The 16771-nt window shown below is 33.9% G+C and overlaps 1 long non-coding RNA gene and 1 pseudogene across 1 annotated transcript in view; both read left to right on the top strand.

Annotated features, from left to right (window-relative positions):
* The window catches only part of LOC107986816 (uncharacterized), a 63027-nt gene extending 56385 nt beyond the window's left edge, over positions 1–6642 (top strand). Inside the window, exon 3 of the long non-coding RNA XR_001745261.2 lies at positions 4462–6642. This is a non-coding gene — a long non-coding RNA (uncharacterized LOC107986816). The remainder of the gene's footprint in view (positions 1–4461) is intronic.
* On the top strand, positions 11915–12139 carry COX6A1P7 (COX6A1 pseudogene 7; annotated as a pseudogene).

The following is a 16771-nucleotide window of genomic DNA, read 5'->3' on the forward strand; positions in this document are numbered from 1 at the left end:
CAATTGTAATAAAAATTAAAACTGAAAAATGAAACCTAATTAAACTCAAGAGCTTCAGCACAGCAAAATAAACTATTAAGAGAGTAAAAATATACCCTACAGACTGAGAGAAAATATTCACAAACTGTGCATCCAACAAAGGACCAATATCCAGAGTCTGTAAAGAATTTAAGCAATTGAACAAGCAAAAAAAATAATAATCCCATTAAAAATTGGGCAATAGACATGAACAAACACTCCTCAAAGGAAGACTGGCAAGTGGTCAATAAACATATAAAACATGCCCAACACCACTAATCATCAGAGAAATGTATTTCAAAATCACAGTGAGATACCATCTCACACCAGTCAGAATGACTTTATCAAAAAGTCAAAAAACAACAGGTGTTGGCCAGGCTAAGGAGAAAAGGGAATGCTTATACACTGTTGGTGGGAATGTAAATTAGTTCCACTACTGTGGAAAGCAGTTTGGAGACTTCTCAAAGAACTTACAACAGAATTACTCTCTGACCCAGCAATCCCATTACTGGGTATATATACAAAAGAAAATAAATTATTCTACTAAAATGACACGTGCACTCATACATTCATCACGGCACTTTCACAATAGTAAAGACATGGAATCAACCTAGGTGCCCATTGTTGGTGGATTGAATGAAGAAAATCTGGTACATATACACCATGAATTACTAAGTAGCCATAAAAAAAGAATAAATTACGTCCTTTGCAGTAACATGGATGTAGCTGGAGGTCATTATCCTAAGGAAATTAACACAGGAACAGAAAACCAAATACTGTGCCTTTTCACTTATAAGCGGGAGCTAAACATTGAGTACTTATATACATAAATATGGCAACAATAGACACTTCGGGCTTCTCGAATTGGGAGGGAGGGAGGGGTTGAGTACTATGCTCACTACCTGAGTGATGGATCATTTTTACCCCAACCCTCAGCATCACACAATATACCTACATAACAAGCCTGCACATGTATCCCTGAATCTAAAACAAAAGTTGAGAATACAATTATCCATTCATCTGTTTATGACATTTGGGTTGTTTCTACATCTTGGCTGTTGTGAATATTGATGCGGCTTCAGATGTCTCTTTAAGATCCTGATTTCAATTCTTTTGGATGGATATTCAGAAGTGTGATGCTAGATCATATGGTAGTGGTAATTCTACTAATTTTTTTGAGAAAACTCCATATATTGTGTTTTCTTCTATTTTCACACTGAAATGTTTGTTGACTACTGTGATAGAAAACCAAGGCTGTCAGAGTATAAGGTAATAGAAGATTGTTGTTTGGTAGCATATTCTCAGAGAAGAGCAAGTCCCCATAATTTTGCCAAATGTGCTCTGGGGTTAGGCCTGTCCAATCCTGATGCGCTTCACCCATTGAACAATTCATTTCATTATTCAATCATGTAAATGGAACATTAAAAAAACTGGTCACTTTTTTTCCTTTTAAAATTATTGTCCTCCTCTGATTCATTTATTTTACAATTAACTATTGAACACTTAGCATGCAGGAGGACCGTTTTTCTAACCACAGAGGAATAGTAAACTAGACAAAAATCTTCATCCCCAGAGGAGCTTATGTTCTACACCTGTAGTGCTCATGTCTTGAAATTTTACAACTACTAACTTAAAACTTTTGCTAGGGGACTCTGAAGAAAATGACAGCTTGAGTGTTTATCAACTCTTCTACTCCCAATCATTTGTCTGTCTAAAGAGATAGCATGTATTCTCTGCCACTCTTAGAGGTGATTAGCCTTTGTGTACTTGTGATTTCCCTGCTGGAGAAAAGTCATGCTAACCTGCTTGTGCAGAGTCCTGGGAAGGTCGACTATGTCTTGCTAGACCTTGAGGACTTGCAGGAAAATTGAAAGCTGAAAGACTACTGCCTCATAAGCTTGGTAAGTCCTAGGCAGATCCTCAGTAGTTGATTCCTGGTCAGCAGTTTTGTTTTATAAAAATTTTGATATGTACACCAGTAAAAGACGTATATAGAAACATGAGACAAGAATAGTAACATCAGAGATAAATTAGATGGTTTTTCTAAGGCAGCAAGTACATATATGTAAAATATCACCTCAAAGAGCACGTGTAAAGAAAGAAACTAGAAGGCCCAGGCAGGAGGATTGCTTGAGGCCGCGAGTTTGAGACCAGCCTGAGAAACATAGCAAGACCTCCCCTTCACAAAAATTTTAAAAGTTAGCTGAGTCTGTTGGTGCACACCCGTAGTCCCAGATACTCAGAAAGCTGGGTTGGGAGGATTGCTTGAGCCCAGGAGTTTGAGGCTGCAGTGAGCTAAGATCACGCCACTGTATGCCAGCGTGGGAGACAAAACAAGACTCTGTCCCCACCGCCCCCTCCAAAAAAAAGAAAGAAAAGAAAAAGAAATCAACTAACAGATTCAAGGTGTCATTGAGAGGAACTATGTGTGGAGTAGTCAGGCATATTTATGACTTGAGAAGGTATATTGGAAAAGTAGTTAAATTTGAATGAGATTTAGGGAGAGCAGTTTAATAAAGAATTGTGTTTAGCTGAATAGAACCTTAAAATGAGAACAATTTAATAGAGTTAAATTAAATTTCAAGATAAAAGTTTACATACTTTATGCAAGTACCTCAAACCTGGACAAAGTTGTAATGTCAGGAATTAGCCACAAACATTTCTTCTTTGATTGAAATTTAAGGTACTTTCAACACACTTGCTTCACTCTTAATATTTGATTCAAATTATGTTTTTCATAATTTTATATAATGCCAAATCAACTAAAGCAGATTTTACTCTTACAAATCATGTACACATATGTATAATAATGAGACTGCATGGAGTCCAGATAAAAATTACATTTTCTTATGCACTCACAAAATAAGGAGGTTTGATCCCTGTTTTGGAAATGTCCACCAAATAATACAATTTTCTCTGGGGACTTTAGAAATAGGCCAATCTAATGAAAAAGAAAAGACACATTGAAATGCAGAACATGTTCTTCTTGAAAATATTGATGTATTAAATATTTATGCAAACATATTAAATTGGCAAGTGTATGAAAACATTATTACATATTCATCACCTTCACATTTCATCTTTTTGAGAACTTCTTTCCTATAAAACTAAAATGGAAGACTAAAAGTTTTCCAAAGCCACATTTTTCGAATTAATAACATTAGATAGTTTTTCTTCAGTTTATATTAATTCACATAAATAACAAAATTAATGTTGGAACTGGAAAAGGCTAATAATTTATTCAAAATAGAAGCACTAAAGTGCTGTTTCATCATTAGCCTTTCTTCCTAAAACCTGAATTGGAGCTTCCTTTTATGAAAGATGCTCCCTTAGAGTGAATATTCACTTTGAAAAATAAATGAGCTCTTTTAGGTCATGGAGTTATTTACCAAACAACTGGCTTTGTAACTACTCCAAATGTCATAAGAGAATTAATGCATTTCCAAATTTCTAACTTCTCCCAGAGTGTAATAAATCTTTGTTGACTCTAAAATTTTATGATCTTTGGAAAGTGTCATTTAAATTAAAATTTAAATTGATTATACTATCCTCTAATTAAAGTCAGAAAGTTGAAATGATTTTATATATGCTCTAAAAGCACTCATGTTTAATATAATCTGATTTGTTATGGTGATATTGTGTTCTGCATTCAAAGCTTTTTCTACTTCCCTTTCCTGCTAAATTCTTTCCCCATTTCTTTCATCTTCTTCTTACCTCATTATTTATTTGATTGAAACATACTCATCACTATTTTATTCTTTTATCTTCCTATCTTTTCACCCCTCTGACCATTTTTCACCGGCTTGTCTTCCTTTCTCGCTTGCACCACTCTCCTTTTGTTCACCCTTGTTGATATTTTTTAATTTTATAATACTTTAGTTTTAATTTTTGTGGTTACATAGTACGTGTACATATTTATGAGGTACATGAGATGTTTTGATACAGGCATGCAATGAGTAATAATCACATCAGGGTAAATGGGGTATTCATCTCCTAAAGCATTTATCCTTTGTGTTACAAACAATATAATTATACTCTTTTATTTATTTTAAAATGCACAATTAAATTATTATTGACTGTAGTCATCCTGTTATGCTATCAAATACTAGGCCTTATTCATTCATTCTATTTTTTTGTACCCATTAACCATCCCCACTTCCCCCTCAGCTCTCCACTACCCTTTCCTGCCTCTGATAACTATCCTTCAGTCATTTACAACAACATGGATGAAACTGGAGGTCATTATGTTAAGTGAAATTAGCCAGGCACAAAAAGACAAACCTCTTTGATGTTTTAAAGATTGTTGTGTTAATTGTTTTTTCTCACTTTGAGTCCTCATGATCTCTGTTTTAATAGTTTGTTCACATTAACAACCCTGGGGTGGGGTAGCAAGTTCTTGGTGTTTACTCTACTTAATTTAACTTGGCTATTCCTATCTTACAGCCTGGTAAGAAAAATCCACATCGTGACACGGAAGAGATGGAGGAAGAAGAGAAAACAAAAGGTCAGAGATGTAGCCCTACATAGCTGATTTTAAAAGGAACTTAAAATTTTACTTTGGCTAAAATTGACCTCTCCTGTAATTTAATCCAAACCTCTATTGCTTGTGTGTGGCCAAGTTCAGTAGTCTTTGGAGTCTCACTTCTCTAATTATCCAAATGCATTTGTTGAAGCCCCATCCCCTGCCTCCTCCAAATCCCTTAATAGGTTTGATTCTGCTCACTGCTCATTGCTATTTTCATGGTGCCGCTGAATTCCGCTCTCCTTCTCTGTTTCTAGCCTTTTCAACATTGCTTTCTCCTCTCATCCCTGGCATGAAACACAGATGCTGGTTATTCAATCTCTAAAGCACTGTTCTTTTAAGAATAAACTTTTACTGAAGAATGGGGGATAAAAGATGGAGCGTAAGCTCAGAACAGCACAGGGAGAAAATGTACAAGTAAAACTAAGTTATTTAGTTTAGAGCTTCTTGGTCAGACCCTCCTTAGTCCTGCTTGCCAATTTGTGCTAGATTATTTTTTTCCTGGTGACTGTTTCCCGCACCTCTCCTCCCCATTCAGGGACCCCAAAGCATGTTCTTCAGTGACCAGGAAAATATTTTATATTCTTAATACTTCATTATGGAGAAAAATTTATTTCATTTTGTATAACCACTGTGTGTTAGTTTCCCATGGCTTCCTTAACAACTTACTACAAACTGGGTGGCTTAAAGCAACAGAAATTTATTTTTCTCAGTTTTGGAGGCCAGAAATCTGAAATCAAGGTGTCAGGAAGACCATGCTCTTTTCAGAGGCTCTAGAGAAGATTCATTTTTCTGCCTCCCTCCAGCTTCTTGTGGCTCCAGGCGTTCTTTGATTCTCCTTGGCTTGTGGCTGCATCACTGATTTCCGCTTCCGTGTTCATGTGGCTCTTCTTCCGCGTGTCTTCTCCTTTCTCTTACAAGGACACTTCGTTGCATTCAGGGCCCACTCAGGTAATTCAGGATGATCTCATGCCAAGACCCCTAATCTAATTACATCTACAAAGATCCCTTATCCAAGTAAGGTCACCTTCACGGGTTCTGGGAATTAGGATTTAGGCATATCTTTTGGGGAGCCATCATTCAATGCACGACATAATCTAAACAGACTCCAGTTTTCTCAGCTTTAACAGAGACAATCAATCAAATAAGTTTTTGATTTAATTTAAAAATAAAAACAGTATTTCTGTCTCTCAGAATAATTCTGCAGCCCAGTTCTTAGAGCAAATTACAGTTAGATTTAAAAGAATGCTTTTCTTCTCATTTTAAAGATTTCTCTTTAAAAATTGTTAAAATGACCTAACATTTTAAAAGACGGAAAAGTAATTGTAATATCAAAAACTTAACACAACTACATATTTATACAAATGCCTTTATAATCTTTGTGTATATGTGTGTATATATACATGTGAATGTATAAATACATACTTGTAATCATGATGTACTTAACAACTGCAGATTGTGTTTAATCTTAGCATATTAAATAAGTTTTTTCAATGTTTTAACGTATGTTTTAATTTACCACTTTTTAATTTTTTAATCTTAATGATTTAAGAAAGTATTAGTCATTGTAGAAAATACAAATAAACTAAAAGAAAAATGAATCACCTGAAATTCTTTTAAAAAAGAAAGCCAATCTGGAGACACATACATCTGTTTTGTTTTGTTTTGTTTTGTTTTTTGAGACGGAGTCTCGCTCTGTGGCCAGCCGGGAGTGCAGTGGAGCGATCTCAGCTAACTGCAGGCTCCCTCTCCTGGGTTCAAGTGATTCTCTTGCTTCAGCCTCTTGAGTAGCTGGTATTACAGGCATGCGGCCCCACACCCAGATAATTTTTGTATTTTTAGTAGAGACGGGGTTTCACCATGTTGGCCAGGATGGTCTCAATCTCCTGACCTTGTGATCCACCTGCCTCGGCCTCCCAAAGTACTGGGATTACAGGCGTGAGCCACTGCACCCAGCCTCTGTATTTTTTAATTTAATTATATCTTCATGTTTGTATGAATCTATATCTGTAGCTGTATCTACATTTATTTAGTTTTGGCTATAACCCCATTTCAGGAACTAGTTGACTAAAAAATAAACTTCTATTGTTTTTGAATTATTACATATTTTGTGGTCTTTTAAAAAGTACTGCAACCTCCTCTATGAATGAATACACTTGTTTTTATAAGTTTTGAAACATATTGTTGAATGACATTTCTCAAAGCCTAAGCACAGATGATAATCCCTACTGCTTCTTAACCAAGATTATAATGACAATCTTAGAATCAAATGTTATCAATTTTAATATTTATTAGAGAATGTCTGACAACACTTTCTAGAGATTCTCTTATTTTATCATGTTGCCAATTTTCCTAAAAAGTGTTAAGTGAGATTGTTAAGGCTACAATGGATGCAAATAATGTTAATACTATAATGAATGCAAAATTATTAATTTAACCATTCTTCCATCATTAAACCTTGTATATATTTCTAATTTTTTATTGTTATGTTTATACATATTGATTTCTCTGCAGCTAAATTATTCAGTTACATAAATTTCCCAGAAATGTGGGTATTCAGGGAAATTGTGGAAATAAATCTAGTCTTCATACAGATTGCAGTTTGCCTTTTATAAGGGTTATATGAAGACAGTTTCATCAGAGTATAAGAGTAAACCGGTTTTACCTCAAGTTCATTATCATTGTTGTATTTTGATATTAACATCAGTATTTTTAATATAAAAGTAATAGAATTCCACCATAAGATTAGTTTAATTGCATTGCTTCTGTCTCAGAATTGAAGTTTATATAAGTTCCTAAATAGCTTTAAACTCATTTAATGTAATTTATTTTTGTCTACTTATTTTTGGGAGGCTTAATTTGAATAAATTGTGTTTTTATTGCAGATAGATCGTCCCTCTGGTGATCTTTATCTATTTAAATTTCCTATGATTTGTTTTTACTCAATTTATTAGTCTATAAAGAATTTAGATTGATATAAGGTCAATTTCCACAGATTGCTAATTAATAATCTTTATTTATTAGTAGTCCTTCTCTGTTACTTTATGTTGCCTATGTCTAAAAAATTTTCTATAGTTTTGTTCAGGCATTTTCACTATGTTCTATTTATCATCACACTTATTTTTGTTCTAACAGCATGCTGTTTTGATTATCACTGTTTTAAAATGTGACTTGATATCTGGCAGAGTCGGCAGCCCCACCTCACAGTTATGCTATTAAACATTTAAAAAATAATATCTTTTTTTTTGCATTTTAAAAAGTTTTGTGAATTGGCAAGAAAATAATTAAGGACTATTTTAATGGGTAGTGTGCCAACCCCACAGAGCAACTTATGTGAGAGTACCTTTAAAATATATTAGTCAATAGTCAATATTTGCATTATAGAAGAATCAGAAAATATCCAAGGAGTATTTTCATACTAAAACAGGTGTTTTCAAATGGGAACTAAGAAATATGTGATTATTTATTGGTTAAGATAAAATGAAAATTAATATTACTGTACTATATTAGGGGCTTTTTTTGTTTTTAAATTCGAATATACAGGTATTTTGTAGGAATTTTGGCTTACTTGAAATATCACCGGATGTCAGGCTATCATCCCTGAAAATTGTATGGGTTTTATATTCTGCCATTCTTTTAACATAGGAGTCTAGCAACCTACAACAAAAGATAAAATATCTTACAAAGCTCAGGAGTTAAAGGGAAATGTTCTAATATTGCAAGAAGTCAGGAAATACAGCTTTGTTTTGGAGGAATGGAACTACATTTATATCTGGAAGTTAATTAGATATTGTGACTTATAACCAATATGATCTAATTCATAATGAAAGAATTTTGCAAAAAAAAAAAAAGATTTAAATTTTCATAGGATATTTTTTGTGTTGGCGATTTGCCTGTGTAGTTGATTTGCATGAAGCATGATTAATGATAATTAAGGAAATAGTTTTACCAGGTAGAAGGAGATGAAAAATTATCCTCATAAAATAACACTTCACAGGGTAAGCATTTCAACATTAAAAAATGATTCATTGCGATTTTGTGACATTAAACAACTATGTGAACTCGTAATAAGATAAACTTATTAGCCAGTGTTTGTTAATTTGATTTGTTTACCCCAGTCTTGAGTTTTCTAGGACAAAGGCTTAACGTTCCACTTCTTTCTACAAACTGCACAAGGTCATGAGGCAAATTACCAGATCAAGACAATTTGACAAGACAAATGCAAACATTATAAATCAGTTCATCTATGAGTAATTGAAGATGTGAAACTAAACATAGTAAAAATTCATGTTTGTTGTTGTTAAATTGCTAGATTACAATCTCAGTTTCTTTACTTTCAAAGGGTGAATGCTTTTGAGAAAATCAAATCCATTTTACAACTCACACATAATGTTTTATGTGGCTGACAGCATAAGTGTTTTTATAAGTCTCCCATATAGTCTAAAATATAAAAGCCTTGGGTCATGTGATATGAATAGTTAATATATGAGTTTATATTTAGAATACAAAAGATAGTATAATAAATGCTATTAACTCAAAATAATATTGCTAAAATTATAGAACTTATATATTGAATGAATGTATTATAAAGCTCATTTATTTCAACTTTGGTTCTTGACACATGTACAGTGGTTTAATACAGCCTTTATTTTGGCTGAGTGGCTATGGATTTTTTATAATTATAAGAAGAGAACTGTGGCATATTCAGTATTTTTACTTGTAATAAGGGTGGGCTTTATGGGCATGCCACCAATGTGGTTGCCCAGGAATCCACGCTCTGAAGGGACCCACACTTTAATGTTCTGCTATTACTTTCTTGAAATTCTTAATAATATTTTAATTAAAGAAACCTCCTTTTCATTTCGCATTGGGCTCCTAAAATTATATAGCTCATCCTGTCTGTAACCAAATACTATTTCTGAGACCCTCTTGTGTTACAGTTCCCTTTAAGCAAAAGACTACAGTCCTCTGATATTTGGGGGGTTTTCTTCTTGTTTTTTTTTTTTATGTATACTTTCTTTTCCTTAAAGTTCAAAAAGAGAACTCATTTAGGGGCATACTGGCATGTGTGAATTGTTTTATTTTTCTGATCACATGACTTTTGGTTTTAGGCTACAACTCTTGCACTTTTCTTCCTCTTAGAAAATGTATTAATAAGATAATGTTGTAAATGCTGTTGCAACTGCAAGCTGCATTACGTGGCCTCATATTTTCTTCCACTGACAAAAAAGTATGTATAACATAGTAAGTACTTTTATCTCCTTCACCTGGATTCAGTGATTATTAACATTTACACCATTTGCTTTGTCTCTCTCTCACACACATAGACACATTTTTCTTCGGATTCATTTGAAAGTAAATTACAAGTATTTTGACATTTCACTCCAAAATATTTCAGCTTGTATCTCCTAAGAAAATTCTCCTGCATGACCTCAGTGCCATCCAAAATATTTAAAATTGATAAAATATACCTAATATTATTTCAATTCAAATTTCTCCAATTGTCCCCAAATATTTTTTATTGATTTAAAAAACCTCTAGGATCCAACCCAGAATTATGCATTACCTTTGATTCACATGTCTCTAGTTTAATAAAAAATATCTATACTTGTGATTTTTCCTGAAGAGGATGTTAAGCTTGATGAAGGTAGGTATATTTTCTTTTTCTCCAATGTGGTGTGTGGAATTGAGGGAAAGACAAAAAAGAAAATTTTCTGTCTGCTCGTCTTGAGAAGCTATAAGCCTTGTATTATCTTCAAGGTAATAAGAACAGATTGTATAATAGCCCCAGTGTACTGAAATTTATTTTAAATGTGAGAAGTATATTCAATTAGGTTGTGTTTTAAACTAAGTGTGGCATCTGGAAATCAGAAATTATAAATTTGGAATATACACTTTGTCTTTAAATGAATGGTTCCTTCCCTTGAATATGACATGGGAAGGGTCCAGGAAAAGTAGAAGAGGGTCCAAGCCGCAGTGAATGATACCGCCATCCTTCCAGACTTCACTGGGTTTCTCTGAGCCAGCAGACACGGTGGTGATCACATTGCTTGGCATTTGCTGGGAGCTGAGCCCTCTTCTCTCTCCATGGTTTTGTCAAGCTGGCACCATAACTTTGCAAACGGTGAAATGAGAACACATAAGTGCTGTGTAAACAGCAGGGACTCCTGTTTTTCTTTCTTTATCATTCTGTCATCTGAAGTCTTTCTCTACCTCCTGTGCTTATGGAATTCTTCTTTGAGGAGAGGGAGGCGTGTGGAATGGGATTGGGTGCTCTACTATTGGAGATTTATAGATAGGTCTTATTTGCTTGGTTGTGAATCCATGAATTATTTTGGAAAGGCAGTGTCTTTCTCTTGATGACTCAGAGAAACATCAGTCAGGATCAATGGCTTCTTGATGATGTAGGCTTAATGAATCCAAATCATTGAACTGAAACTTTTCTTTTAAAATTTCAAGGCATATAAACTCATGAAATCAGTTTTGTTTCTTATCATTTGCCATGTGTTCTCAGCTATCACTGTACAACTTTACTGTCTGACTTAACTGATATGCTTTTGCAAAATAAGTAATTGAAACTAAGTCTGAGAAAACCTCATCCTAAATTCTTTTCTTGACTTTGATTAAATCATCATCCCTGTCTTTGTTACTTGATTTGCTAGGGGGCAGTACTAAAAATATTGCATAGGGACCTCAGGACTCTACAGGTCCCTCTTTTGCTTAGGGACCTCAGTACTGTACAGGCACTCTCACTCCACTTTTTAATCCTGTTGGGTTCATTTCAGGAGTACACATCACTATCTTAAGGATTTTCAAATTGCTGCTAAAAATGCCTTCTCTTTTTCTTGGTCCCTCCCTCTCTCCCTTCTTTCTTTCTCTCCTTCCTTCCTTTCTTAGTTCTATTTGGAACCTAAACTGAGTTAGACATTAGGCAATTGCAAAACATTGTTTTTTCTTATTTCAAAGTTTTAAACCTCTGTTCAGTTAAATATTAGGGTAAAACAGAACAGATCTATCAAAAATGAAAAATGGTCGCTATGAAGAAAGAGTGCAATCAGTAAGCTAATAAGGCAGCCTAGAGTGAAAGAATTTAGAACTGTTAGGGAAAAACAAAAACTAGATTAAAATATGTAGTTTCTGAAGACTTTCTCAAAAAAGTATTTTGTTCAATTAAGTTATTTTAAAATTTTCATAGCTTTTCATATTGTAGTCTCTTTTATAGATACATCTGACAAAACTTTTAAAACACTGAACTATTTTGGTTTCCAGTGCTGTGTAGTCCAGGTCAAGAATGGCAGTGGCTGGGTCCTGAATTTCTGGCTTGCTGGCTTGGTCCCAGCTACAGCTGAGGAGATCTATGTCCAGTAGTACCCCGGGGAAGAGGGCTCAGCTTACATGTGGAAGGGCCTCACCTATCTGTTGCACTTTCCTAGGGGAAAGTGAGCATGCTTAATACTTTCCTGAAGCAGCCCTGTGAAGAACTCTGAGATCCAGGAACATTACCTACCCTATCTCTGCATCAGATCTAGGCTCTTTCCCTGGTGAGACTGTAACCAAATTCTATTCCATAACCCTTATATGAATCTGCTTCTGATTGGCTGTAAAGGGGATAGCATTGATTTGGACCACGACTTTCTATATGGGCTAGAAAAGTATATGGGACCTTGTGCCCATTTTCTTTACTTGTATCAAGTGGTGACCAGTATACAGATGGTCCCCCACTTAGGATGGTTTGACTTAAAATCTTTTTACTTTCAAATGTATAATATTATGAAAGTGATACCATTAAGTAGAAACTGTGCTTTGAACATTCATACACTTATTCTGGTCTTTGTTTTCAGAACAGTATTCAATAAATTACATGATACAGCCAATACTTTATTATTAAATAGGCATCATATTAGATGATTTTGCTCTACTCTAGGCTAATGCAAGTGTTCCGAGCACATGTAAGGTAGGCCAGACTAGGCTATGTCTGGTAAGTCAGGTGTGTTACATGCATTTTTGACTTACAATATTTTCAATTTAGGATGAGTTTCTCAGGCCATAACCCCATTGTAAGTTAAGTAGTATCTGTACTGATCTTCCATCTCTTTGCTTGTGGCAAGAGATGGCATAAATAAATACATAAACTTAGATTGGTCATGAGGAAATAAAACAAAACAAACACCAGAGAATCAGGTAGTGGGACATGAACTCTATTCTCAGCTTGAATGACTCTAAGCATATTGTTCCTTCTTTGTGCCTTGTTTCTTTTGTTCAACTTCATGTCCATGAAATTCATTCATTTTCTTTTGTGTAGCAGTTACTTGCTTTTATTGTTATCTAATATTTTACTATATGAATAGACCACAGTTTCTATCCATGCTATGGTTGAGGGACATTTGGATTGTTTCCATTTTGAGGTTTCTATGAATACTTCTTCAATAAACATTCTTATATGTGTATTTTGGTGATCACCTGCATGCACACATGGCATGGAATTGCTGGGTCATAGGGTATATGAGTATTCAGCTCTAGGAGATGTTGTCAACAGTTTTCTGGAATACTTGCACTAATCTCAGTACATGCTATATGAAAGTTTAAATTATTTTTCATCCTTGCCAACACTTAGTACTGTTAGTCTCTTTAATTGTAGCCATTCTGTTGGATGGGTCTTGCTATCTCATTGACTCTTCAGTGTACCTCTCAAAGAGTTTTTATACAGACACACACACACACCCCCAAGATAAACATACAGAGCATTGACAGCATTCAAGAACACTCTCTTATATCTTCCTAGTCAGTATAGCCCTATCTCTTCCTAGTCAATATACCCCACCCAAGAAATAACAGCTATCCCAACTTCCATCAACATAAATTATTTTTGTCTGTTCTTGAATTGTATGTAAATGAAATGACAGTTTGTAGCCATTTGTGTCTCAATTCTTTTGCTTATTTTTATGTCTAGGATATTAATATGTGTTAAGATATGAACATTGCAAGCAAGTTTTATTTTATATTGCTGTGTAATATTCCCTTGATTGATATATTACATTTTATTTTTCCCCTCTTTTGATCATGGACACTTGCATTGTTCCAAATTTTGGCTATTGGGAATAAAGCAGCTATAAATATTCCTATGTGTGCCTTTAGTGGGTATAAACACTCATTTATGTTTACTGTTTTTCTAGGAAAAGGATTGCTGGTCATGGAATAGATAATATAAGTTTAGCTTTACTAGATATTGCCAAGCAGTTTCTCAAATGAGTTTTTCCAACTTAAGTATTTTTTCTATAACAGCAATTAATTTATTGAGAAAAGAGGACCAGGAAGATTTCAGTTTATTTTTAACATTTCATTCTTAATTTTATTTTATTTAAATTTACAAAATTGTATATACTTGTTGTATACAACATAATATTTTGAAATAGAAATACATTATGGAATGCTAAAAGGAGCTAATTAATATATGCATTACCTCAGTTATCATTTTTGTGGTAAGAATATTTAAAACCCATTCTCAGCATTTGTCAATACTAAAATTTGAAATTAGATCCTTATGTCATATTATATAAAAAAAAATCAGATTAGTAAATGTAAGACCCAAAACTATAATATAAAACTACCAGAAGAAAACGTAAGGGAAAAGCTCTGTGGCACTGATATGGGGAATGATTTTTGTGGCTATAACCCCCAAAGCACAGGCAACAAGTAAATGGGCAAATGGGATTACATTAAACTAAAATGCTTCTGAACAGCAAAGGAAATAATTAAAAAGTAAAGAGACAACCTATGGAATGAGAGAAATATTTGCAAACCGTATGTCTGATAAAAACTTAATATCCAAAATATATAAGGAATTCAACTTAATAGGAAAAAAACCCGAATAACTTGATTAAAAATTGGCAAAGTATTTGAATAGACATTTCTCAAAAGAAGACATACAAATAATCAACAGGTAGATTTATAAAAGGCTTTACCTTACTAATCATCAGGGAAATGCAAATTAAAACCACCATGAGATATCACCTACACCTATTAGAATGACTATTAACAAAAAAGGCATAAGATAACAAGTGTTGGGGAGGATGTGAAGAAAAGGTACACTGTTGGCGAGAATGGAAATTAGTACAGCCACTATAGAAAACAGCATGGAGATTCCTCAAAGAATTAAAAATAGAGCTACCATATGATGCAGCAATCCCAGTCCTGGGTATATACATCCAAAGGCAATAAAATCAGTATGTTAAAGAGGTAACTGCACTCACATGTTTATTGCATTATTCACAGTAACCAAGAAATTGAATCAACTTAAGTGTCTGTCAGTGGATGAATGGATAAAGAAAATGTGTTACACATACACAGTGGAATATTATTCAGCCATAATAAAGAAGGAAATTCTGTCATTTGTGACAACATGGATAAATCTGGAAGACATTATGTTAAGGGAAATAAGCTAGGCACAGGACAAATACCACGTGATGTCACTAACATGTGGAATCTAAAAATGTTGATCTCATAAAAGTAGAGAGTAGAAAAGTGGTGACCAGAGGCTGGAGTGGTAGTGGTTGTGGGCAGTTGGTGAGATGTTGGTCAAAGGATACAGAGTTTTAGATAGGAGGACTAACTTCAAGAGATCTATCATACAGCATGTTTTTCCAATTTAAACTCCCACCAGCAATGTGAGATAATTCCAGATCCTGGTCATCATTTTGTAGTTTGGTCTTTTTAGTTTTAATCATTCTGAAGGGTGGGTTGAGATTTGTCATTGCTTTTTAAATTTGCATTTCTCTGATGAAAAAATATATTGAGCATCTTTTCTTATGCTTCATATTAAGAGTTTCAATATCCTCTTTTGTGAAGTGCCTTTGAAATTCTTCTTTTCTTTTTTAATGTTTTTCTTTGTTATTGGTTTGTAGGAGTTCTTTATATTCAAGATATAAGTTCTTTATATTCAAGGCATAAATTCTTTATTGTATCTCTATATTGTCTGCATGTTTTCCCAGTGCAGTTTGCTTTTTCATTTGTGATCAAAAGAAAAACCACAGTATAAAAAAAAAAGATGCTCTGTTAGTTACCAGTATTTAAATATTAGGAGGATTTATAGAAAAATCTGGATTTTTAATTTCTTTTAAAGTAGTAGGAGGATCCTGCAACATTTTGCTTGAGATCTCATATACCTTAGGCTGCATGGTAGCTACTCCCATGAGATGCCTACTATGGTCCCTGTTGCTTCCTACACCAACCTACTTCACAGGTTCATAATACCAGCCCAGTTCTGTTGGTGCCTAGTGTGAGAGCCTGATCTAAGGTCTCCCTTTTTTAAATTTATGAGCTGTACCTACCAGAGTTTTTTGCCTGACAGGTTCAATAGTTTAAGGGACAACGAAGGTCCCTTTTGGATGATACATACTTAAGAATGCCAAATCTCTGACTACCAAGTAATAAAAACTTTAATGTAATTGAATGCATAGTTTTTACAATAATTCATTTTTTAAGTGGCAGGATATAAAGCATCATATCTGGGAGGAGAAGTTGAGACTTTAAATAGAGAAAGTGAGAATTTAATAATAGTGGAATTAGCTTAAATAGAGTTTAAATAGTAGAATCAGTGGAATTTGATTAGATGTTTCATAGGATGCAGATGTAAAAAGGCAAAAATATCATAACCTAAATTTCAGAATTTGTCCTATATATGTGTGTTCATATATATACATATATGTATATATACACACATATATATCCCCATATTGCTTTGGGTGTTGGAACCATAGAAGTGGACATAATAGAGAAATTCTCTGCTTTCATGGACTTGTAATTCAAAAATAATAAGTCAATACATAAATGTACAAGCAAATATTAAAATATACAGTAGTTTAAGCTGCTAAACAAGTTTTTATAGTAATCAAGACAGTATGATATTTGTGAAAGAATAGACAAATAGATCAATTGAATTGAATACAGCCCAGAAATAGCTCACACAAATGCAGTCAATTGATCTTGGACAAAAGAGGAAAGGCAGTTTAATGGAGAAAGTATAGTCTTTTCAACAAATGGTACTGGATCAACGTGAAAAAAATTGAAAAAGAATCTAGACACAGACTTTCCACATTTATAAAATTTAACTCAAAAAGGATAATAGACTTTGCCCTTTACTTTTAAGGGCAAAACCATAAGACCCTAGAAGAAAATACAGAGAAAAATCTAGTTGGCCTTGGGTCTGGTAATGACTTTTTAAATAGAGCACTG

This window comes from Homo sapiens, chromosome 7 (genome assembly GCF_000001405.40).
Source record: "Homo sapiens chromosome 7, GRCh38.p14 Primary Assembly".
Classification (NCBI taxonomy): Eukaryota; Metazoa; Chordata; class Mammalia; order Primates; family Hominidae; genus Homo; species Homo sapiens.